At 36.9% G+C, this 24,379-nt stretch overlaps 2 protein-coding genes across 18 annotated transcripts in view, besides 1 other annotated feature; one reads left to right on the top strand and one right to left on the bottom strand.

Moving 5' to 3' along the window:
* The window catches only part of CLOCK (clock circadian regulator), a 119,007-nt gene that overhangs the window by 79,082 nt on the left and 15,546 nt on the right, over positions 1-24,379 (top strand). For all 17 annotated transcript variants that reach the window (XM_011534410.3, XM_047416432.1, XM_047416436.1 and 14 more), the window contains 12 exons: positions 4,023-4,143; positions 8,567-8,680; positions 8,818-8,936; positions 11,528-11,610; positions 11,825-11,931; positions 14,004-14,151; positions 14,699-14,774; positions 17,596-17,737; positions 18,332-18,432; positions 18,960-19,049; positions 23,043-23,195; positions 23,932-24,141. In XM_011534410.3, the coding sequence (XP_011532712.1) occupies positions 4,023-4,143; positions 8,567-8,680; positions 8,818-8,936; positions 11,528-11,610; positions 11,825-11,931; positions 14,004-14,151; positions 14,699-14,774; positions 17,596-17,737; positions 18,332-18,432; positions 18,960-19,049; positions 23,043-23,195; positions 23,932-24,141 (1,464 nt within the window). The remainder of the gene's footprint in view (positions 1-4,022; positions 4,144-8,566; positions 8,681-8,817; positions 8,937-11,527; positions 11,611-11,824; positions 11,932-14,003; positions 14,152-14,698; positions 14,775-17,595; positions 17,738-18,331; positions 18,433-18,959; positions 19,050-23,042; positions 23,196-23,931; positions 24,142-24,379) is intronic.
* The window catches only part of TMEM165 (transmembrane protein 165), a 57,441-nt gene continuing 47,492 nt past the window's right edge, over positions 14,431-24,379 (bottom strand). Inside the window, exon 6 of the mRNA XM_011534394.4 lies at positions 14,431-15,589. Coding sequence (XP_011532696.1) covers positions 15,522-15,589 — 68 coding nt within the window. The 3' untranslated portion in view covers positions 14,431-15,521. The remainder of the gene's footprint in view (positions 15,590-24,379) is intronic.
* Positions 19,752-20,046: a silencer, noted in NCBI's record as "tiled region #15506; HepG2 Repressive non-DNase unmatched - State 16:ElonW". NCBI's record gives its function as "represses a minimal TATA promoter and a strong SV40 promoter by Sharpr-MPRA in HepG2 cells {active_cell/tissue: HepG2}" and the evidence as "EXISTENCE:reporter gene assay evidence [ECO:0000049][PMID:27701403]".

Here is a 24,379-nt window from a genome sequence, read left to right as displayed (position 1 = left end):
ATTTAAAAACATGTTTGAGAGTAAAACATGAGATATTAGCAATGCATAAGTAAACTAGCATAGGCAGAAAAAAGGACAGACTGATTAACTGAGTTTTCTGGACAACTTAAAAAAATTTGTTTTCATAGCAAGAAAACCCAGGGAAAGAATCCCATTATAGGATTAAGATAATGTCTAAGTAATTTAAAATAAGTATAATTGTATGCTTTTAAACCATATATAACTGTATTAGGTTTTGTCATGTTTACAGAAACTATATAATCTAGTCATAGAGCATCATTTGCAATGTGTTCACACTTTCTCAAAGCCTGCTTCTTGGCACTTGCTTGAATTCCATTCAAAATTCGATGCCCTTCATCTCTGTTCTACTGTTACCTTGTATGTACTACTGTCATGATACAGAGAATTATAATTTTCTGTTTATTTGGATAGTTATGGTAGTTGTAGCTTCTTAAAGGCAGGAACTTTATCTCTGCATCCAGAGGAGCTAGCTAGTTCCTTGGAGCGTCACTCAGTGATTATTTGTTGAATGTATGAAAATGAGTGTGCTACTTGATTTGACTGTTTTAAAAAAATCCCTTTCTAATCTTTAGTGAGTTTAATTGCCCTTTGAAATAGACAACATGTGATAGATCTCATTGGAATTGAAGTGTTTGATTAACACTTCCCTCAATAAAAACCCTGTCACCTTCCCATTTTCTTCTGGACATTTTAAAAAATATTTTTAATTTTAGAACCATTTTTAGATGTACAGAAAAATGGACAAGGTAGTACAGAGAATTCCCATGTGCACTATACCCAGTTTCCTCTGTTATTAACATCTTCTAGATTTTAAAAAATTGTTTGTGTCATCCAATCACTAAATGGTAACGTTGACCTAATGTAGAAAAAACAAAGGCTACTGATTTATGTCATATAAGTAAATCAGCAGAACTTATATTTCCTTTTCATGAAACGAGTAAGGGAGATAAAAAGATCCAAGTAGTTACCATTTTCTTTTCTTACGTTTGATTGTGTTTGAGAACTGAGTGTATGTATGGTCACATAAAGTATGGTCAGCCTCATTTAGAGATTTTAAGTGTAGTGGTTAATGGAAAGTTTGACACCTATTAAAGTGGCAGGAGAGGCAGAATTGTTGGGGCAGGCATTGCTTGTGATCATACTACTCTTGATACAGGCATTCATTTTCTTTTCTCTATGAATATGAAACATCCTATGAAGTTATAGATGAAAAAACAAGGATAAGATAGGTCACATCATAATTTACCAAATAGTAGTAGAAGAAATTGTTAGTAACAAATAATAGTAGAAAACTATAATCATTCTCAAAAATGAAAATTTTAGTTCCTATTAATATTTCAAGTTGGTGGCATGTTTTTCTATTAAGATGATGTATTAGTCTGTTGTCACACTGCTATAAAGGACTCCCCAAGACTGGGTAGTTTATAAAGGAAAGAGGTTTAATTGACTCACAGTTTGGCATGGCTGGGGAGGCCTCAGGAAACTTACAGTCATGGCGGAAGGGGAAGCAAACACGTCCCTCTTCACATGGCAGCAGGAAGCAGAAGTGCTGAGCCAAAAGGGGAAAAGCCCCTTACAAAACCATCAGAACTTGGGAAAACTCACTCACTATCACGAGAACATCAGCATGGAGGTAACTTCCCCCATGATTCAATCACCTCCCACTCAGCCCCTCCCATGACACATGGGGATTATGGGAACAACAAGATGAGATTTGGGTGGGGACACAGCCAAACCATATCAGATTATTTTTTGCATCAATATCATATACTATATTTTGATTCTTTATTTTGTCAGTAGAAGGCAACTTTCTAGCATTTGTGTTATTCAGGCCTATTTATTGTTATTATTTTTTGAGACAGAGTCTTATTCTGTCACCCAGGCTTGAGTGTAGTGGTAGGATATCAGCTCACTGCAGCCTCTGCCTCCTGGATTCAAGCGATTCTCCTGCCTCAGCCTCCTGAGTAGCTGTGATTATAGGTGCACACCACCATGCCCAGCTAATTTTTGTGTTTTTCGTAGAGACAAGGTTTCTCCATGTTAGCCAGGCTGGTCTTGAACTGATGACCTCAGACAGTCCACCTGCCTCAGCCTCCCAAAGTGCTGGGATTACAGGCATGACCACTGCACCCAGCCATCCCTGAATTTTTAGTTCACTCCTTTAGTTGTAGAGGCTTTTCAGACTTCCAGAAAAATCCTTTACTGAAATACAGATATATTTTTGGTGTGGTTATCCCTTAAGCCATTATCAAATACCTCCTTAGTCTAAAATCATTTATTTTACTAATAACTGTTAAACACAAGGCACGGTGTTAATGTGCCCTGATTGGAAGTGAGAAAGATAAAGGTGTAAGAGATAGGCCCCTTTTATTCAGCTATAGGGCAACAGGACATAGACATTAAAATATAGTCATCCTTTGGTATCCATGGGGGAATTGGTTGGTTCCAGGACCCGCTGCAGATACCAAAATCCATGGATCATCAAGCCGCATAGATAAAATGGTGTTGTATTTACATGTAACTTACACACATCTTCCCATTTACATACATTAAATCATTTCTAGATTATTTATAATAACTAATACAATGTAAATATGTGTTATACTATAGTGTTTAGGGAACGATTAGAAAAATGCACGTATTCAGTACAGACACAACCATCTGTTTTTTGTTTTTCCTGAATAGTTTTGATCCATGGTTGGCTGAATTCTGCTAAATGGGAAATGAATAATACAAGTAATAAATAATAAAAGAATTTTATTTTTAATGTGGATTATGGTGTTAAGGGAATGCTTTCTTGAAAGAAGTAATTTGAACTGGTCTTTGAAAGGGGAAAGATACAGATATGTAGAGAGGGGGGAAGGTCATCTCACTTCATGGAGTGGGCTTGGAGGGCTGGAGAAAAGACAGAAGAAATGATGGGAATGTGTGGCCTATATGAAGAATAGTATTAGGTTGGTGCAAAAGTGATTGCGGTTTTTGTTATTAAAAGTATGGCACCAACCTAATACAACACCCCTTTCTCCCCTCTCACCATTCTTACTGCCTCTGTTTGTTGTTGTATGTTTTTTGTTTTTAAGCAGTGGAGCTCTTCAAACAAAATCTTCACAGATGCATAAAATAAAAACAAAAAGTATAACTGCTTTAGTTTAATGCAGGGGCAGGACCCTGGGCCCTGCTTCTCAGCTCCTTTTTACTTCCCCACCCTCTAGTCCTACCTTTACAGGCCTTGAGATACTGTCTCAGCATCCCTAGGATTCCACAGAGCAGTTTGAAACGCAGGAAACCAGGTAGAATGCGTAGTGGCAAATGTAAAGTCATGGAAGTTTTGTTATCAGTGGTACTTAAGTATAGAAACTATCTTATTCATCTTTGATTCCACAGCCGTGGCACATTGTAGCCAACCTGATGTTTGTCAAATTGCTATTGATTAATCACGATTAAAGCTGTGTATTAACAAGAATTCTAATGCTTAACATATTAGTTGTCCTTTTGAGGGGGGATAACTAAACACAAGGCTTTTGTACAATGGGATGCAGGATAAATGCCAGGAAAAGATGAAATAAAGGACACATTGGACAATTGAAATCACACCAAAACAAAATCTCCTCTTTATTTAGCTTGTGCATAGTCCTTTATAGTAGGATATACCACCATTGTTTACCATAGGTTTGAGTATATGGTAAGGCTATGACTTGTCGCCAGAGATTTTTCTTATTAACTCTCTTGGTCCCGTTGTATTTTGAAATGTTCAGAACATTTTGGTGAAACACAGCTTTGCAAATAATTTATCAGGCTTTCAAGGTCATATTGGTCATGGATTGGATGACGTTAGTATGATCTCAATCTTATTTTTTGAGATTTGGTCTATAACTTGACATTTGTTGGTTTTCACAGATAATTGAAAGTTAACTGCTGTGTTTAATAGCGATTATGTACTTTTAAAGCAATTGTCTCTTGAATCATTGAAGTTATTTTACTTTTAACAATTTTCTTTTCAGTCTGATCTTGTGGATCAAAGTATATTTAATTTTATCCCAGAAGGGGAACATTCAGAGGTTTATAAAATACTCTCTACTCATCTGCTGGAAAGTGATTCATTAACCCCAGAATATTTAAAATGTAAGTAGTAGCTGTTAAGCAAAAAAGTCAAATGTTGTATTCAGTAGCACTATCCTTTTGCAAGTTTATGAAAAATACAGACTTCTTTAAATACAGCATTACTCCATATGCCCTATTAGGTCCTTTTTCAATATTAAAATATATATAAAATGAAATTGTGACCATATTAAAAATCTGTAATCTATTTCAGTGTATATTGAAATCCCATCTTATTTGTTATAATAAATCCTGGACTCCCATTATGCCATAAAGCTGTATTTTATGCAAAAGTGAGACCTGGCAATATATAGTTATTAATTTATAAATAAAACTTTACTGTATTTAATAAGGGAAAATTAAACATTCTAATTTTCACCATTGTTAACCAATTGGACACTCAAACTGGAAAAAATTTCTATGTTTCTTTTAAAATTATTAAATATAAAGATAAATTATCTACTTTATTAAACAATTAAACAGTCATTTGTTAGATGTATCTAATTTGCTAGGTACTTGTGCTGTATCATAAAAATATCAACAATAGTGAAAATAGTTATCACCATCAAGATACACAACATATTATGGTAGAATCAGACATTTCTACTAGGTCCATTGACAAATTTATTTGACCGGAGTACCTCATTTTCTTCATATATTACCCTGTATAAAATCCAGAATTGTTACAGCAGTACATTTCACCATTAGCTATTAGATACCTTGTTTAATCACCTTTTTCATTATTTTTAAATGTGTCTCATCTGCTAATACTGACATTATCTTAAAGATTCTTTGTATTTGAATCCTCAAATTCTATAGCATACTGTCTAAAAATTGAGATACACACACACACACACTCACACAAATCTGTGTGTATCTATAACTTTGGTAAGAGTGGATGGCCTTTCAGCGAGAGTTGAGAAAAACTAGAGTTGGAGAATTCATTTCAAGCCTTGTTTTAAAACCAAGTTCATATGACATTGACCATTAGGCCACTCTAGTCTGGTACTTAGAAAGATTTAGGCTGTATATAATAGATACCTACAATTAGTATTTGAAGCCATGGATGGAATGGATTGCTTGAGGTAAATACGTAGAACAAGGAGAGAAAAATTAGAAAGGTGGAAGCCAGCCAGGCCCGGTAGCTCATGCCTGTAATCCCAGCACTTTGGGAGGCTGAGGTGGGCAGACCACTTGAGGCTACGAGTTTGAGACCAGCCTGGCCAACATGGCGAAACCCCATCTCTACCAAAAATTAGCTGAGCATGGTGGTGCATGCCTGTAGTCCCAGCTACTTGGGAGACTAAGGTAGGATAATTGCTTGAACCCCGGAGGCTGAGTTTGCAATGAGTCAAGATCACACCACTGCATTCCAGCCTGGGCGATAGAGCGAGACTCTGTCTCAAAAAAAAGAAAGAAAGGTGGAACCCTTTGGAGATAGCAATAGGAAGACAAAGGAGAAGGCGTTTGCTTTGAAGACCCTACTAAGAATAAAATCGACTGGAGAACTAAATAAAAGCCTTTGGCAGAAAGAGCTTAGGCTTCTGCTTCCAAGAACAGAAATGAAAATGGCAAGAATACTTAAGAAAAGTCTTAATTAAATGGCTTGCTGATCTCCTAGTTAAACAAGTGATATACAAAAGAGTTCTTGCCCCAGAAAAAAGAAAGTTTCATGCCAAAAGAATAAACACAAGTTAAAACACAGAGAAAATTGCTTAGAAAATTTGGTAGGTCATTTTGGCCATAATGAAGTTGAGGTTGTACAGGTGGTAAAATTTGTGTCTAGAGAAAGAATAAGGACAGAATTATAAAGGGGCTAAGGAATTTGAGTTTTATTTTTTACAGAGTAGAGAGCCAGTGAAGGAGATTTGGGTAGTTTTGTTATCTGCAAAAAAAGGAAAAACAAAATCAGGTAAATAGTGGAAAGTTCATTTGGAGAAGGCTAGGAAGAAGACTTGCAGCAGTGGGTTGCCTACCCCAGGCTTACCTGGCTTCTGCTTCATAAAGAGACCCTGAGTCTGAGAGCTGAATAAGAGCCCTGGATTTCTCATCATAGTGGCTCAACTCAGGCTGTGCTCACCTGACCTGCAGATTTCCTACTATACAAATCAAGTGATAGCTTTATGGAGTTACTCCTCAGTTTCATTCCTAGGGTTCAGTTAAACACAACCAGAGATCTTATGGATCAGACCATTCTGATGATCAAGCTGGCCATCCTGCCTGGTACAGTAGCTATGACTACTTTTCCTGTAACAGCTGTTTTGCCTCATGGAGGTCCAGGTCTTCATTGCAATGAAAGCATCTTTCACCAGCATCTCTGGCCTAGAAAGAGCAGCAGTACCTTGCTTATAAAAGTTGCTGCCACTTTCGTCATCTGGTTTGGGAGATTAAAAAAAATCACTCAGGTAGAAAATTTTGAAAAGGACCAGACTGGGAGACAAAAAGGAAAACCATATAATCCTAGCAATAAAAGTAAGGATGGGCTGAGCACAGTTGTTCACGCCTATAATCTCAGCACTTTGGGAGGCCAAGGCAGGCAGATCGCTTGAGCCCAGGAGTTCAAGACCAGCATGGGCAACATGGTGAAACACCGTCTATACAATAAAGAGAAATAGAAAAGTTGGCTGGGGTGTGGTGGCACATGTCTGTAGTTCCTGCTACTCGAGGCTGAGCTGGAGGATCACTTGAGCCCAGGAGGCAGAGGTTGCAGTGAGCTGAGATCATGTCACTGTAGTCCAGGCTGGGTGACAGAATGAGACTTTGTCTCAAAAAAAAAAAAAGGAGAGGAAAGTATATGACTGTTAAGTGTGTAAACTCAATAGGACTTGATGTGGTAGGCTCAGGTGACCAAGTGACTAAGAATCATCAGTGGGGAAGGTTGAAGATAGATAGATTTTTACTGATTAGGTTAGATGATAAAGCCATCTATGATGATAATAACCGAAGAATATAAGCTTGAAGTAGTGAGCAAAGAAAGGTGTTACTAGTCCTTGAGTGCGGAAATAATACCATGAAAGTAATTACAAGTCTAAGAGTAATAGACAAGACTGAATCAGAGTGGCAGAATGTGGAGGCATAATGAATACATATTTCGGTTACCTAGATGCAAGGTAATTTGCAACTGCACTAAATTGGCAGGCTTCCTTGGTGAAATAAGTAGCAGGTCTTCATGACAGATTAGGTTTGGGACTTGTGATGGGAAGAGAAGAGACCAAATTGTTAACGGTTTCTAACTTGGGAAATAAGCATACATAGACGAAGGGAGCTTGAAAGAAAGATAAATTCACTTTCAAGTATTTTGAATTTAAGTTACTAATGGGACAATCAAGTTCGAATGTCCTGAAAGCAAATGATAGGTAACTTTGTCTCACGTAAAATGCTAGAGTTGGAGAGAGAGATTTAGGATCAGAAGAACCTTTGTGAAAACCCCTAGTATGAAAATGGATTAGCAGAAGAGATAGGAATAGTCAGTAAGGTGGGAAGGTAAGTTTATGCTGTGGGAATGACAAAGGATGACTTTTAAGAAGTGGAAATGAAAAATCATTGAAGTTAACGATACAAATGTTAGTAATCTTGAGAAGAATAATTGCTGTAGAGGTGTAAGTCACAGTGTGTGAAGTTAAGGGAAATGAATATATGGAAGATGGAGCCCATAATGAAAAGGAAGGAGATCTATAATACCAAATAATTAGTGAAACTCCTTTATTTCAGATGGAAGACGTGAGCAAATTTAAAAGTAGATAGTAAGGACCCTTGGCCAGGTGCAGTGGCTCTCGCCTATAATCCCTCCACTTTGAGGCAGGAGGATTGCTTGAGCCTAGAAGCTTGCAACCAGCCTGGGCAACATAGTGAGACCCCATTTCTATAAAAAATTAAAAATTAGCCAGGCATGGTGGCTCACACCTGTAGTCTTGCGTACTTGGGAGGCTGAGGCAGGGGGCTCACTTGAGCCCAGGAGTTCAATGCCACAGTGAGCAGTGATCATGCCACTGCACTCCAGCCTGGGTGACAAATCAAGACCCTGTCTCAAAAAAAAGAAGAAAGTAAGGACCCAAAGGTGTAGATGCTAAAGGAATAAGGAACAGTGATGTGGCCCGGGTCCTAGAGAAAATAGGAAAGACTATAAATGGTAGAGATGGAAGGATTAGCTTTAGAATGTGAAGCAAAACTTTCCTTTGAAAGTGAGTAAAGAATGAAAAGGATGAGTAGCTAAAAATAGGGAAACATTAAGTTGTTTGCACCAGAAAATCTATTTTTTCTATTAAAGACAAAGTGAGATCCTCTCCTGAAGGTGCTCTACTTTTATGAACTAAATGTCATTGACGACTTCTGTTGGGGAAAATAATGGTTGTAAACTTACACAACTTTTATGATCTTACTTTATGTGGTATATCAATCATTGTTTTATATCAGAAATATGTGATTTTTAAAATCTCTTTTATTTCAGCAAAAAATCAGTTAGAATTCTGTTGTCACATGCTGCGAGGAACAATAGACCCAAAGGAGCCATCTACCTATGAATATGTAAAATTTATAGGAAATTTCAAATCTTTAAACAGTGGTGAGTTAAAATGCTTCTCTCACAATGTGTTTTAACTTGTTATTTTTCTGTGCTCTTAAAGACATAGATGTTTGAATATCAGTGACAATTAGGTTTTGCTGGCATAACTGATGATACATATTTCCCTATTGTTTTAGTATCCTCTTCAGCACACAATGGTTTTGAAGGAACTATACAACGCACACATAGGCCATCTTATGAAGATAGAGTTTGTTTTGTAGCTACTGTCAGGTTAGCTACACCTCAGTTCATCAAGGTATGTTTTTAATTTTATTTCCCAAAGGGGATTTCAGTTCATATGCTGAGAGCTGCCTGAAACTTCCTGCAGACATTGAGGTGGAATGGCTATGAGTCATTAAATATGCATGATAATATTTTTGAAACGATGAGTTATCAAGACACTCATTAAATTGTATAACTAATTTTTTAGTATATATCCTTTGCAGTTAACCAGTGATTATTATATATCAATATTGCCCTACTTTTGTGGAAGATTTTAGGATCCTTTTGTGTGTTGTTCATTATCTCTATTAAAAGGGAAAGTCCAAAAATCTAGGTTTTTGGAATCTTTATTTTTAGAAGGTAACTTTTAAATTTTTATTTGAAATGTACAAGTGGCTCTTTGCCACATATAACTTACCTTTTCAAATGTAAAATTAGGTATTTTATTTTTATTTCCTGGACCCAACAAACAGATGACAAGTAGGGAAGTGGGAAAGTGAAAGAGTTAACCACTAGAAACTGACTGGAAAGAGGCAGCCAGGCTAAGATTTAAAATTTCGGCGGGGCCAGGCGAGGTGACTCATGCCTGTAATCCCAGCACTTTGGGAGAGCAAGGCGAGAGGATTGCCTGAGCCCAGTAGTTTGAGACCAGCCTGGGCAACGTGACAAGACCCCATCTCTACAAAAAATACAAAAAATTAGCCAGGCATGGTGTTACACACCTGTGGTCTCAGTTACTCAGGAGGCTGAGGCAGGAGGATCATTTGAGCCCAGGAGGTCGAGGCTGCAGTGAACTGTGTTTGCATTTTATTTTGAGACAGAGTCTGACTCTGTCTCAAATAAATTTGGGGGGACATCATAGTATAGGACAAAGTACTGAATTAATAGAAGATCTTAAGCCAGTCTTGCTTGGTTTGTTTTGATCTTATGAAATAATAGTTGTTAACATTTGAGTGCTTACTACATGCTGTGTATTTTATATGCATTATCTCATTAATTCTTATGACAACCCTATAAGTTAGATGCCATTACGATCCCTCATTTTACATTATAAGGAAACAGGCTTAGGGAAGTTAAGTGACTTGCCCAAAGTCTCAGCTATTAGTGATGAAACTGGGACTTGATTCTATTAATTAATAATTGTTTTTTTCTCAAAGCCCAAGCTCTCAACTATTACAGAGTGCTGCAGGTCATTCAGGGACACAGAGGCAGGATGGAATACATTGTTTAGTATGACTAGAGTCTAGGGTTAGTGTGTGGAGGGGGAAGAGATAGTGGGAGGTAAGGCTAGAAAAGTAATCAGAAACCAGAAATAAAATTTGTTTCTTTCTTGTTTATTTCTCCATGCTGAAGAGAGTTTAGCACAAGGAACCACTGAAGGTTTTTTAGCAGGGAAGTCATATAATATTTGAGTATTGGTAAGGTAATTGTGGCCCTAGAAGAGAAGATGAGTTGAAGGACAGGGAGACTGGTGAACACTGTAGCAAATCAGTGATGGCAGGGGTCTAAACCAATGCACTCAAGATGGATGAGATAGAATTGATTTTTAAAATACTTAGATGAAATGGAAAAGATTTAGTAATGGCCACTTAGATGATGAAAGGTAAAAATGAAAGAGTATGTTTTTTTAACTATCAGATTTCTAGACACTGGCCACTACACATGTATAGAATAATACGGAAAATTGTGTGATTGGGTGTGAGGAGTAAAGCAGTTAGTTTATTTTAGGACATATTGAATTTGAGATGTATGAGGACATTCAGATATTTGGAAATATGGAACTGTAATTCAGGAGAGAGGTCTGAATTTTGAATAAGCGTTTATAGGCATGTGTGAATGGAAAATGTGTAGAGTGAGAAGTACCCACCCAAAAGCTTGCATCTAAAGGTTATTTATTACCACATTCTTTAGTACTGGAAAATTAAAATATATTAACTTGTTTAGAAGGGCCTGCATTTTGGCTTATGCCTAGAATCCCAGCACTTTGGGAGGCTGTGGTGGGCAGGTTGCTTGAGCCCAGGAGTTGAAGACCAGCCTAGACAACATAGACCCCCCACCTCTACAAATAAAAATACAAAAATTAGCCGGGCGTGGTGGTGCATCCCTATAGTCCCAGCTACTTGGGAAGCTGAGGCAGGAGGATCGCTTGAGCCTAGGATGTTGAGGCTGCAGTGAACTGAGATCACACCACTGTACTTCAGGCTGAGTGACAGAGTGAGACCCTGTGTCAAACAAAGAAATAGGTAAATATATACATACATAGAAACAACTAACTTGTTTAGGAAAAGTTTATCTAGTAATGACTATTTATTTATGTATTTATTTAACCTCCACCTCCTGGGTTCAAGTGATCCTGCTGCCTCAGCCTGCCGAATAGCTGGGATTACAGGTGCCCGCCACCGTGCCCTGCTATTTTTTGTATTTTTAGTAGAAATCGGGTTTCACCATGTTGGCCAGGCTGGTCTCAAACTCCTGACCTAAGTGATTTGCCCACCTCAGCCTCCCAAAGTGCTGGGATTACAGGTGTGAGCCACTGCACCTGGCCATGACTTATTTTTATATGTAGCAATATTTAATATTCTTAAGGACACAAAGTATTTATAAATTTTAATTATTTATTTGTAGGAAATGTGCACTGTTGAAGAACCCAATGAAGAGTTTACATCTAGACATAGTTTAGAATGGAAGTTTCTGTTTCTAGATCACAGGTAATTCCATTTTTAAATTCCATGAAAAGGTAATAGTCATGTTATATAATTCTTGAAATTAATGGATCAAGGGCAAACTTTTTTTTAAATTAGGACTTTGAAACCTGTTCCCATTTTTTGAAAAATAAAGCCCCCCCCCCAAAGTTTATTTCTAGTTGAAATATTTCTTATTATGGAAAAACTTATAATAATGATTGTTTTCTGTGTAATTTAGGGCACCACCCATAATAGGGTATTTGCCATTTGAAGTTCTGGGAACATCAGGCTATGATTACTATCATGTGGATGACCTAGAAAATTTGGCAAAATGTCATGAGCACTGTAAGTAGATTTTAACATTTCTGGTGATAATAACTGTTTTATAAGCAGAAGTCCTGTCCTGAAATGATAGGTAGTAAGACACAGATTTATAATCATTTTCATATTTTTGAAATATGCTAAAAGATTTTGCTTTATGTATATAACCAATGTAGTAGGAATCATAGATCAAGTTTAAACTTGTTCCTATTTTTATAATAAGTAGAATTTTATAATATTGCATCTAATACACCTTGTTCTGAAGCACGTGAGCTCTATATCTGGAGTAAGAGAAGTAGATTCCTTTGAAAATTGTAATACTTCAAACTTTTGGAGTATTGTTTCCTAAATTTTGATTTTGAGGCATGTGAATCTTTTCAGGAGCTAGGTACATGTCTGGAAAATCTGTCTTAGAAAGCTCATAGTAAGTGCTTGGTGTTATCTGCTTATTATTGTTGTTAGAGCAGGAGCATTATCATCCTTTGTGCCAGGCACTGTTCTAAACACTTTACATCTATTATCTTCATTATTCTCCATCACAGTTCTAAAAGGTAGATGCTATTATTATCTTCATGAGTAAGCTGAGAACACAGTAAGGCTAAGTAATTCACCCATAATTTCATAGCTCATTGGTGGCAGAGACAGGATTGGAGCCTAGGCCTACTCTTTTTATCACATGTATTTATTTTAGAAGTTTGTTTTAATGATGAGGTTTGCCTTAATGATATGTTTTATTTGCTTCTCTGATCCTCCTCCCAGATGCTTACCATCTTGAGTGTTCACTAAAGCTTAACTAGATATTTTAGACCTTTTCATGACGTTTTATGCTGCTGTTATAAACCTCACTGTATGAAAATGAAGCAGGTTGTATAATAGCATTAACTCTATGGAAAATTTTCAGAGTAAAGTCATTTCAGCACAAAAGATGTGGGCATTAAGCACCATGATGTTGTCTAAAGAGCTGATACCTCTATTAACTAGCTGGGTAACTTTGGACAGCAAGTTTGTTTGTAGACCTTGATTTCCTCCTTAGAGAGTGAGAGGCGGTGGCGGCGGGGTTGGGGGGTGGGGGGACAGATTGAGAGATTCTTGACTAGCATTTTCTAAGGTTTGTTCCACCGAATGTTGGTCCATAAAAAAAGACTTTATAGTCAAGGAAGATGGGGAAACACTTCATAATCCCTCAGAGAATCTGCACATGCATTAGCATACTCTAGGTTTTGAGAAAACTGAAGACACCTATTTAACAAAAAGTTTCCCAAATTAATTTAACTACAAACCCTTTTTTTTTTTTTTTTTTTTTTTTTGGGATGGAGTCCTGCTTTGTCACCCAGGCTGGAGTGCAGTGGCGTGTCTCAGCTCACTGCAGCCTCCACCTCCCGGGTTCAAGTGATTCTCTTGCCTCAGCCTCGTGAGTAGCTGGGATTACAGGCACGTACCACCATGCCTGGCTAATTTTTGTATTTTCAGTAGAGATGGGGTTTCACTATGTGAGCCAGGGTGGTCTCAAACTCCTGACCTCAAGTGATCCTCCCACCTCTGCTTCCTAAAGTACTGAGATTACAGGCGTGAGCCACCACACCTGGCCCAAAACCCATTTTTTTGTTTAATATCTGTTAAAACGCTTCAGAACTTAAAATCCACAGCACATGTTTTGGCAGTTACTGCACTCAGTTACTTCAGACTCAGTTACTTTGATTTTGGTTAGTTAAGGTTTAAAATTAAATGCTTCAAAGATTCTGTGCCTGCCAGAGTAGTTAGGAGAAAAAACTCAGGGGTGATTATTTATTGTTATTACCCTCTGTATATCTAGGCAGGAGGAAGTCAGCAGTGTGAATTCTTAAGTATTAATTGTGTATGGAAAGATTGTAAGATCAGCAGTGACTAGCTGTGAATTGGGCACTGTAGATCTGATAATTGCTTGGGACCTTAAACTAGCTCTAAAGAATAACATTTTCATATTGACATATATGTTATCAAAAGGCCAGAAAAATAATAGTATGTGTAAACTTAAATGTAAATGATAGCTTTTGGTTAAAAAACAATCTTTATATAATATGAATTAAAGAAAAAATATTTCTCTATTTTCCTTTTAGTAATGCAATATGGGAAAGGCAAATCATGTTATTATAGGTTCCTGACTAAGGGGCAACAGTGGATTTGGCTTCAGACTCATTATTATATCACTTACCATCAGTGGAATTCAAGGCCAGAGTTTATTGTTTGTACTCACACTGTAGTAAGGTAATAATTCTTTTAGAGAATTTCTGAATTACTGTAACATCCTATGATGATTTTGGCATTGTAACTTTTATGCGTAAGTTGTTAAAGAGCTACAAAGTGCTCTTTTCTCAATTGCTGATAGATCCTTTCAATATATTATTAAATTTACTTATAGGCATTATATATAAATATAGGAATGATATAGATATATAAGTCTTGATATAAATTTTGTGCTTTACAGCAGAAGTTGTTACTGTCATTTATGTAGTAATGTCAGTCATGTAAAAGGAAAACTGTAGGTAGATAAGCATACACTTCCTTTATTTATTTTTCTTAATTTAAGTATTGTGTGGTTATGGATCGTTTACAGCAGTGTATGAAACTTTAAGATACCTAGAAAAATGCAAGTTAAATTAAGACATTATAGGTATATTTTAGGTTTGTGTAGCACATAGCAAATAGTCTAGATGAACAGATGAGACACGTAACAACACTGAATAGTTACAGCTGTGCAGTATTTTAAACGAATGACCAGACACTAAAATTTGATTATTTTTTCCATTTGTAGTTATGCAGAAGTTAGGGCTGAAAGACGACGAGAACTTGGCATTGAAGAGTCTCTTCCTGAGACAGCTGCTGACAAAGTATGTTTCTTATAATTAAAAAAAATTATTTTTAATTTCTCCCCAATAAAAGATGAAACTCAATAATTAATAGGAAAACTATTTTTCAAAAATACTTTATTTCCTCACTTATAACGGGGATGTGATTATACTTTACTACTTATTTTTAATTTAATATTTTAGAGTCTCACCTGCCTCTAAAAAGAAAATTGGATGAGAGATGTGTCTGATCTCAAAACTACCATTTATTCCCAGTGATGTACTAGTCTCTGGCTAGGTTATTTATATGAATTATGAAATATAATTTACACATCAGATATTTTTATCGGGTAGGTAATATCCCCACTTTGAAAATACTGAAATTGGGGTTTCAAGAGGGGAAAAAAAAATCTTCCCTAAAGACACTGGCTGGGAAATTATAGTCAGAATTGGAACTCTGGTTTCTTTTTTGTTATATCAGGTCAGAAGTATAGTATATTAGTTATCTATAGCTGTGTAACAACTTACTCCAAAATTTAGTGATATAAAACAACACACTTGTTATCTCCTAGTTTGGTGAGTCAAGAGTCCAGGCACAGTTTAGCTGGACCCTCTACTTCAGATTCTTTCATGAGGCTGTAATCAAGGTGTTGGTGGGAGCCACAGTCATCTCAAAGTTCAACTGAGGTGGCATCTGTTTCCACCTCACTTAGTGGTTGCTGGCACACTTCAGTTCCTCATGGGCAGTTGGACTGAGGGCCTTGGTTTCTTGCTGGCTGAAGGCTATCCTCAGTTCCTTTCCAGGTGACCTTTTCCATCAGAGCAAGCATGCAAGATGAGCCAGGGAGAGAAACTACCTGCAAGATGGAAGTCACAGTCTTTTGTAACCTAATCACAGGATTGATACCTCACCACTTTTGTCTATTCTATGCATTATATAAGGAAATCAGTAGATCCAGCCCACACTCAAGATGGGAGGATTATGCAAGGGCATGAATATCAGGAGGCAGGAATTGTGAGCCATGTCAGAAATTGCCTACCACAGTATTTTTGGACCTGCAGAAAATAAGTAGAATGAAAAGAGTCAAAAATCTATATAAAACTTGAGTTAAATAGGCAGCATTCCAGGGGACAATATGGTAGATGTCATTCAGTCATTCAACAAATGTTATAAAGTACCTTCTACCCGGCATGGATCTAGATGCTAAGAATACAGCACTGAATAATGCAAACAACTTCCCTGCTTTCATGGATCCCACGTGAAAGAACTTTTCCAAAGAGGTTTTGTATGTTTAGAAGAAGAGGACATAGTATGTTTTGGTAGAAGACATTATTTTCTGAGAAAAGTTCTTAAAATCTAGGGTTCCTTGATTAGGGGACCATTATGAAAACTGAAGTAATACAGAGATTAATTATCCTTCTTTTTCCCTTATGCAAAGATTCAATCCTAGTAAATCCTAAATTAGCCCTGTTTCCAAAATACACACCAGCTATGTCTACTTTCCCACCATATTTACTGCCAGCATCATGATCCCCCTGGGGTTTAGGGACGAGGTCCTTCTGAGATATTTTTGAGAAACTTCAATGTGTGGATGGTTTCAAAATCATGAATTTTGATGGGATCACCAAAGGGATGGGTGTGTCTTGGAGCACTCCAATATTAAGAGGTGATGGAGACAAGGAAGAATCAACAACAGGGGGGTAATAGCTAGTAAGTTAGGAATAAAACCAGGAAGTTACTTAGAAGACAAGAGTATCAGTGAGGAGTGAATGATCAGCTGTATCAGATTCAGCTGAAATAAGTTAAATTTTAGATGAGTGTTGAGAACTGAGCATTAACTTTAACATTTAATTCATTGGTGATCAATAAGAACAGATTTTGTGGAGTAGCAGTGTGGGTGAAAGCATGATTAGAGTTGGTTTAAAAGACAGTTTTCCAGGATGGGGGAATTAGGGACAGTGAATAGGGAGGGGTTTTGCTACAAAGAGAAGAGAAATGGGGCAGTGGTAGGAAGGGAAAGTGGGCTTAAAGGAATTTTTTGCCTTTTTTTTTTTTAAGTTGAGAGAAATAACAGCATGTTTGTATACTGATGAGAATGAGCTGATGGAGAAAGAAACATTGGTGAAGGGAAAGATTAGTGTCGCTGTATGAAACTATGAAACTCTAGCTCCTGGGCTTAAGCAATTCTCTTCTCAGCTTCCTGGGTAGTTGGCACCGCAGGCATTCACCTGGCTTTCTCCCCTATGTTTTCTTGTAAGAGTTATGTAGTTTTAGCTGTTAAAATTTAGGTCTGTGATTCATTTTGAGTTAATGTTTTTTTTTTTTTGAGATGGAGTCTCGCTCTTTTGCCCAGGCTGGAATGCAGTGGCAGGATCTCGGCTCACTACATCCTCCGCCTCCTCAGTTCAGGGAATTCTCCTGCCTCAGCCGCCGGAGTAGCTGGGATCACAAGGCATCTGCCATCATGCCTGGCTAAATTTTGTATTTTTGGTAGAGACGGGGTTTCACCCTGTTGGCCAGGCTGGTCTCAAACTCCTGACCTCAGGTGATCTGCCTGCTTCAGCTTCCCAAAGTGCTGGGATTACAGGTGTAAGCCACCACACCTGGTCTTGAGTTAATTTTTGTATATGGTGTAAGAGATTCCAACTTCATTCTTCTTCTCTTTCTTTAAATAGAAAATGAAGCCAAAACTTTCTGGCTATAACACATAAATTTTCATTTCTTTACATGTGTATGTACATACAGGTACTTTTGCCTTGTTATAGACAAAAACTGATTTTTTTGTTGTTGTTAACAGTATTGTGAATTTGAGATCTCTGAACTGAACCACAAGAAAACATTTATTTTACTCTGTCTCCATAGAGCCAAGATTCTGGGTCAGATAATCGTATAAACACAGTCAGTCTCAAGGAAGCATTGGAAAGGTTTGATCACAGCCCAACCCCTTCTGCCTCTTCTCGGAGTTCAAGAAAATCATCTCACACGGCCGTCTCAGACCCTTCCTGTGAGTACCCTTGCTTCAAAGCAGACTTCCTTTAAAGTAACTAACTAAACTTTTAGTTACTTATATCAGCATTTCTCATCAAACGCTTCTTTAAAATTATAAGTTTTTACATTTCTGAAATGTAGTAACCTTTCCAGTGAGTTAAAGGGACATTGCCCACTTTCAGCAAAGAATTAAGTTCTTCAAGTAGCCTATTAAAATGTGTAGGTGGTAATGGTGATGGTGATGTTTTTAATCATCCCTCAAAAAGAAAGGCAACTATTTATTGTGTTTTTTTACTGTAGGGCCAGTAAGTGTTCTTAGGTTTGCTTTTTGAAAGTTTTTTATTGTCTTCTCTTTTTGAAGACTTGTATAATTGTCATTAAATTAGTGACTTTTTGTATTTAAAATTTTCCTATTTCAACTATTTTCTTTGTGCTCATAAAAAGATAGAAGTAACTACATTGAATCATCTGTCATGGACTTCACTTTCATTGAATGGTTTGGAAAAATAATTCAAAAGCCATTTTTATTAACTGAAATACATTTTGAGATTAATCTTTAAAAACTATATTTTATAAAGTACTAATGCTCTTCTGATTTTGTTGACTTCAGCAACACCAACCAAGATCCCGACGGATACGAGCACTCCACCCAGGCAGCATTTACCAGCTCATGAGAAGATGGTGCAAAGAAGGTCATCATTTAGTAGTCAGGTAAGCTCTTTAGTGGATATTCTTCTGAATAAAGATTTATTAAGAGGGGAAAAATGATCTAAATCTTCAGAAATTCATCTATTTGTCACCCCTCTTTGTAAAGATCAAAATAGTTACTGATATGTGACACTTACTTAAGACTTCCTTTTCTTGTATGAAGTGGTTGTCATATGTATTGGTCCTTCTAATTATTTTTCAAGTAAAATGTTAGTTTTTTTTTTTTTAATTGTGGAAAGCTCAAAATTGATAGCTGTTTTATGTCTAAGTTCAAATACCAATTGTCTTAAGTCTGGCCAACTTTTATTGAGAGCTTGTTCAAGGTACTGTAGGAAGTTCCTTGGAAAATAAAAGATAAATAGGGAACAGGCCTTTCCAATATAGATGAGAAGACATAGCTGTATTCAGCTAACAAAAGTATGAGGCAAATGGTAAGTTTATTAATACGAATATCATATTGATATTTCTGCTGGAAGTACTCATGTATGGGAATGAGAATCACTTCAGTGTTATTTTTTATTTTGCTCTAGTCCATAAATTCCCAGTCTGTTGGTTCATCATTAACACAGCCAGTGATGTCTCAAGCTACAAATTTACCAATTCCACAAGGCATGTCCCAGGTACTTTTTGGTTTTTGTTTCAGTTGCGTATTTGAATATGATAAATTGCTTTTAAGCTAATGTAATTTTTTTAAAAATCCAGGCTTGCTGGCAAGCACCTGTAGCCACAGCTACTTGGGAGGCTGAGGTAGGAGCACACACACACACACACACACACACACACACACACACACACACGCGCGCGTGCGCGCGCGCACATATATAATTATAGTTACAGATGCAGTGAATCTTAACTGGGGTCATTTAGGATATCTGGGGACATTTTTGATTGTTGTAATGATTGTGGGGTATCACTGGCCCTTAGTGAGCATGGTCCAGGAATACTAAATATCTTTCAGGATGCATAAGAGTCTTGCACAACAAAGAATTGTCCTGCCTAATATGCCATAACACTCCCTCATTGAGGAACACTGTAGACATAAAGATATTAAGGATGAAATGTAGCTGTTCATTTTGTTCCTCCTATGAATATTGGAAGAATTGAGTAACTTTATTTGTATACTCATTCTTTTGATATTTATTGAGTTCTTTGTGTGTAACAGGCATTGCAGATGCCGACAGTACAAATATATGAACTAAAAAACCATTACATCTAGAGGGAATGACAGATGCCTACAATACCATGCTATATTGCCTGTGCTGAAAGTATGTAAGTTGATATGTAAGCAGATTGTGTGAATCCTTAATGCAACCTGAGGAAGTGAAGGAAAACTTTCTAGGAGAATTGTTTCTTGGCCTAAGTCCAGAAGGAGGCCTGAATGTGGAAAGTAGCCAAAAAAAAGGGGGAGTAATTCCAAGAGTGATGCTGTTACTTTAGAGCCTAACTTCCCAACTTGTAATTTATGACTCTGTACTCATTCAGTGCCTCAAACACATTAAAAATACTATGGAGAAGTAGTATTTTTCTTCAACTTTTCTGTTTTGTTTGGCATTAAATATACCTTAACTTAGCAGGTCTTGATTTCAAGGAATGATCATTAATAATAGGTGAAAACAATATTTTTAAAAATAGCTCCATCTTATATGGTTATTTAATTTAAGTCATACATATATGATAGGAGATACATACTTTCTATATTATTAGTTTTTTAATCTCAGGATTCTAAAGCATTTCTTAACATGTTATGGGGATATTTTCATGAAATAAAGGATACCTACTATGTCAAAAATGTTAGTAAGCATTCATGTCTCACATTTTGTTCACCAATAAAGCCAAATGCTTTGCCTCTTAGGTCTGTGGTTTTACTTCCTGTTATCCTACCTTCTGTGTTTGTTACTATTTTCTTTTGTACTTGATAGAAATCCTTTAAGTGCTATATTGCTATCAATATAATGCTTGTCCAAAGGTACAAATAACTTTAGTTATAATAAAATAACATTTGTATGACATAAATGTAACTTTTTAATTTTTTTTTGAGACGACGCCTCACCCTGTCACCCAGGCTGGAGTGCAGTGGCGCAATCTCGGCTTACTGCAACCTCTGCTTCCTGAGCTCAGGCGATCCCGCCTCAGTCTCCCGAGTAGCTGGGACTACAGGCACATGCCACCACACCCGGCTAGTTTTTATATTTTTAGTAGAGACAGGGTTTTGCCATGTTGCCCAGGCTGGTCTCAAACTCCTGGACTCAAGCATTCTGCCCACCTCGGCCTCCCAAAGTCCTGGGATTACAGCTGTGAGCCACCATGCCCGGCCATAATTATAACATTTTGACTAATATTTAAAAAAAAACAAAAAAAAAAACTTGAGGGAGTTGAGGTACTAAATTTTTAATATTTTCTCAACCACGTTTAACATATGATATGGTCTGGTTATTGTTAATTTCTGAAATCAAAGTTGTGTGCCCTGAAATGTAATTTAGTATCCCAAATACAAACTATTGAAGATAGAGTTAAAAAGCTTTGGATGGGGAGGACATTTCTCACTTTTACATACAGTTCACTGTAAGAGGCTACTTTAAGACAGATTTCCTTCCAATAAAGTGAAACTCTTTCTGCTCTTATACTGTATCATATACTGAAAATTCATGGGAATAATTAAAGAGCCTGTATAGACTTAAGAGATGAATCACCAAATGTGGGTAAATTATAAGCAGAAGAAAATAGGAGCTGCTCATGACTCAAGTAAAACAGAGAAATAAGATTGAAAATATAATTTTATTTTCATTCATGTATGCGTTTATTCATTCATACTTGCCTAGTCTTTAAAAGCCCATGTTCTATACTTATCTGAGGATAGTTTCCATTGAAGATAAAAGTGAAAATATTATTGGTTATCTGTCAGATTTTTGCAACTTTGGGTAATTCTACTCATGTACACATAGAGGGCATTCTAGGGATGACAGAAATTGATACAAATTAACTCCAGGTGCAGACTACTTTTTCCTTTGTTAAGGGGTAAAAATGAAGCTAAGAAGTTAAATAAGGCTGGGCATGGTGGCTTGTGGGAGGATTGCCTGAGCTCAGGAGTTCTACAACAGACTAGGCAACATAGTGAGACCCCATCTCTTAAAAAAAACATTAGCCGGGCATGGTGGCATATGCCTGTAGTCCCAGCCACTTGAGAGGCTGAAGTGGGAGGATTGCTTGAGCCTGGGTGGTTGAGGCTGCAATAAGCTGTGATCACACCACTGCATTCCAGCTTGGGTGACTCTGTCTCAAAAAAAAAAAAAAAAAAAAGAAGTTAAATTTTTTTCCAGTAAGTGGTAGCCACAATATGAGCTCAGGTCTTGTAAATCCAGGGTGTATGTGTAATCAGTCAAGTATCCAGTCAGAAGCCAGAAGCATACCAGAAATTTGAACAGGAATAATATAAAAAATTATTAACTGGTAACACGGATTAACTCCTAAAAGAAGTAAAGAGAACCTAAAGAATATAGGAATAAAGCTGGGTGTGGTGGCTCATGCCTGTATTCTTAGCACTTTGGAAGGCCGAAGTAGGAGGACTTCTTGAGCCAATGAGTTCAAGACCAGCATGGGCAACATAGCAAGACCCTATTTTTACAAGAAAATACATTTTTATGTTAGCCAGGTGTGGTGGTGCATGCCTGTAGTCCCAGCCACTGGGGAGGCTGAGATGGGAGGAGCTCTTGAACCCAGAAAGTTAAGGCTGTAGAGAGCCATGATCGCACCACTGCTTTCCAGCCTGGGTGACAGAGTGAGATCCTGTCTCAAAAAAAAAAAAAAAAAAAAAAAAAAGAATATAGAAATAGCAGATGCAGAGAGCAACCACTAGCTGTAAGGTAGATGGAGAGTACCCAAGGAAGGAACATACTTAGAAGACTCCCCACAAGCTCCTAACCTCCTCTTCCCCCATGCCAGGCTAAGATGCAGATCTTCTTGGGGCAAATGTGGCTATAGCAACTGGATAATAGAGAAGTTCACTGACATGCCACAGATTAGAGGTAGAGAGCTGGAAGCCATCAGCTGGGGTACTGGTAAAGCTTGCAGGGAAGCTGCCCACTAGGATGTCATTGAGACTTGCTGGAAAGCCACCTGCCGGGGCAGGTGTATGTAAAAGTGAGAAATGTCCTTCCCATCCAAAGCTTTTTAACTCTATCTTCAATAGTTTGTATTTGGGATACTAAATTACATTTCAGGGCACACAACTTTGATTTCAGAAATTAACAATAACCAGACCATATCATATGTTAAACGTGGTTGAGAAAATATTAAAAGCTTCCCGTTGGCACCCTGACATAAGAGCAAGAAGCACCAGAACCAGGAGTTGAGCACTTTCTTGGCAGTGTCCCTCCAGCACCACCTACTGATGTGGATAACTTTGTGCCTGCTGGCAAAGGAGAAATATTTTGAAGGTCCAGGTCCAATATTACAAAGCAGAGCAAAGATGGGTGGATTAGAAACTAAGGGACATAACTAGTGAAGGATGTTATCATCCTTCACTCATGTTATACTGCTTACTTTTCATGTTGTGCAATTATAAGGAGTAAGTAATTCTAAAATATATTACACTTTTTCCGTACATGGTACTTCAGTTTCAGTTTTCAGCTCAATTAGGAGCCATGCAACATCTGAAAGACCAATTGGAACAACGGACACGCATGATAGAAGCAAATATTCATCGGCAACAAGAAGAACTAAGAAAAATTCAAGAACAACTTCAGATGGTCCATGGTCAGGGGCTGCAGGTAATTGTTATATTTGAATACAAACAAAGCATCCCATTCACATTTTGGATTTCTAGGAAAATTAACTTTTCTTAATTAAAAGTGAGATGCAAGAGATACGTTTTATCAATTCAGTTCAATAAATATTCACTGGTTACCTACTCAGTATGATTATACTTACAGTCTCTAAAGATAATTTGTTTCTGAGGGTATTTCTGTCAACATCCTTGTTTCTCCAGTCATCTTTTTTTACCAGTCCAAATTTTAGTAAGTTTGAATCCATAATATAAAAATTATATTTTACATAAAGTTTTAGGTACATCTTGGGTACAGAATTTATAAATCAATCATCAGTAATATTTTTATTAAGATACCAGTATGTATGATTCAAATTAGTCTTATATGACCAACCAGCAGGACCACTCTAGGAGACTATGACTTTGGTAAAGGGAAACTTGGAGTGAAAACTACTTCTGTGTGATGTTATAAATTATAAATGATAAGTGATACAGAGCTGTCAATCCACAGACTAACACTAGTTACACTTTTTCTAACAATTGGAAACAAGATAACTGAAAGATTGAATATAAAGTTTCATATTTTATTCACTACTTATTTATTGCTAATTCTTCAAAGTGACTTAGCCTTGTTACTTGCTTTTTAAACATACTTTGTAGCTTGATTTTGCCTTCTTTTTAATGCTCATTCTTCTTTTCAATCTACAAAGCTCATTTTAACATAATCTTTATTTTTAAAGATGTTTTTGCAACAATCAAATCCTGGGTTGAATTTTGGTTCCGTTCAACTTTCTTCTGGAAATTCATCTAATATCCAGCAACTTGCACCTATAAATATGCAAGGCCAAGTTGTTCCTACTAACCAGATTCAAAGTGGAATGAATACTGGACACATTGGCACAACTCAGCACATGATACAACAACAGACTTTACAGAGTACATCAACTCAGGTAATGTTACTGAGCACAGCGGGCTATGGAGTGATCAGTGGTTGGAAGGCACACTATTGCTGAAGCAGAAATAAAGCTCTAATGATAAAATATCATTTCAAAATTTAATAGTATTTAGAAAGTATAGTATTGAGAGTGATTATTAAAATATTTTGTGCAAATCATGTTAGTATCAAATATTTTCAGCTTTTTTTTTTCTTTTTTTTTTTTTGAGACGGAGTTTTGCTCCTGTTGCCCA

The sequence above is a fragment of the Homo sapiens genome, chromosome 4 (genome assembly GCF_000001405.40).
Source record: "Homo sapiens chromosome 4, GRCh38.p14 Primary Assembly".
Classification (NCBI taxonomy): Eukaryota; Metazoa; Chordata; class Mammalia; order Primates; family Hominidae; genus Homo; species Homo sapiens.
Note: the sequence above shows the minus strand (reverse complement) of the source record. Positions and strands in the feature narration are given on the sequence as shown.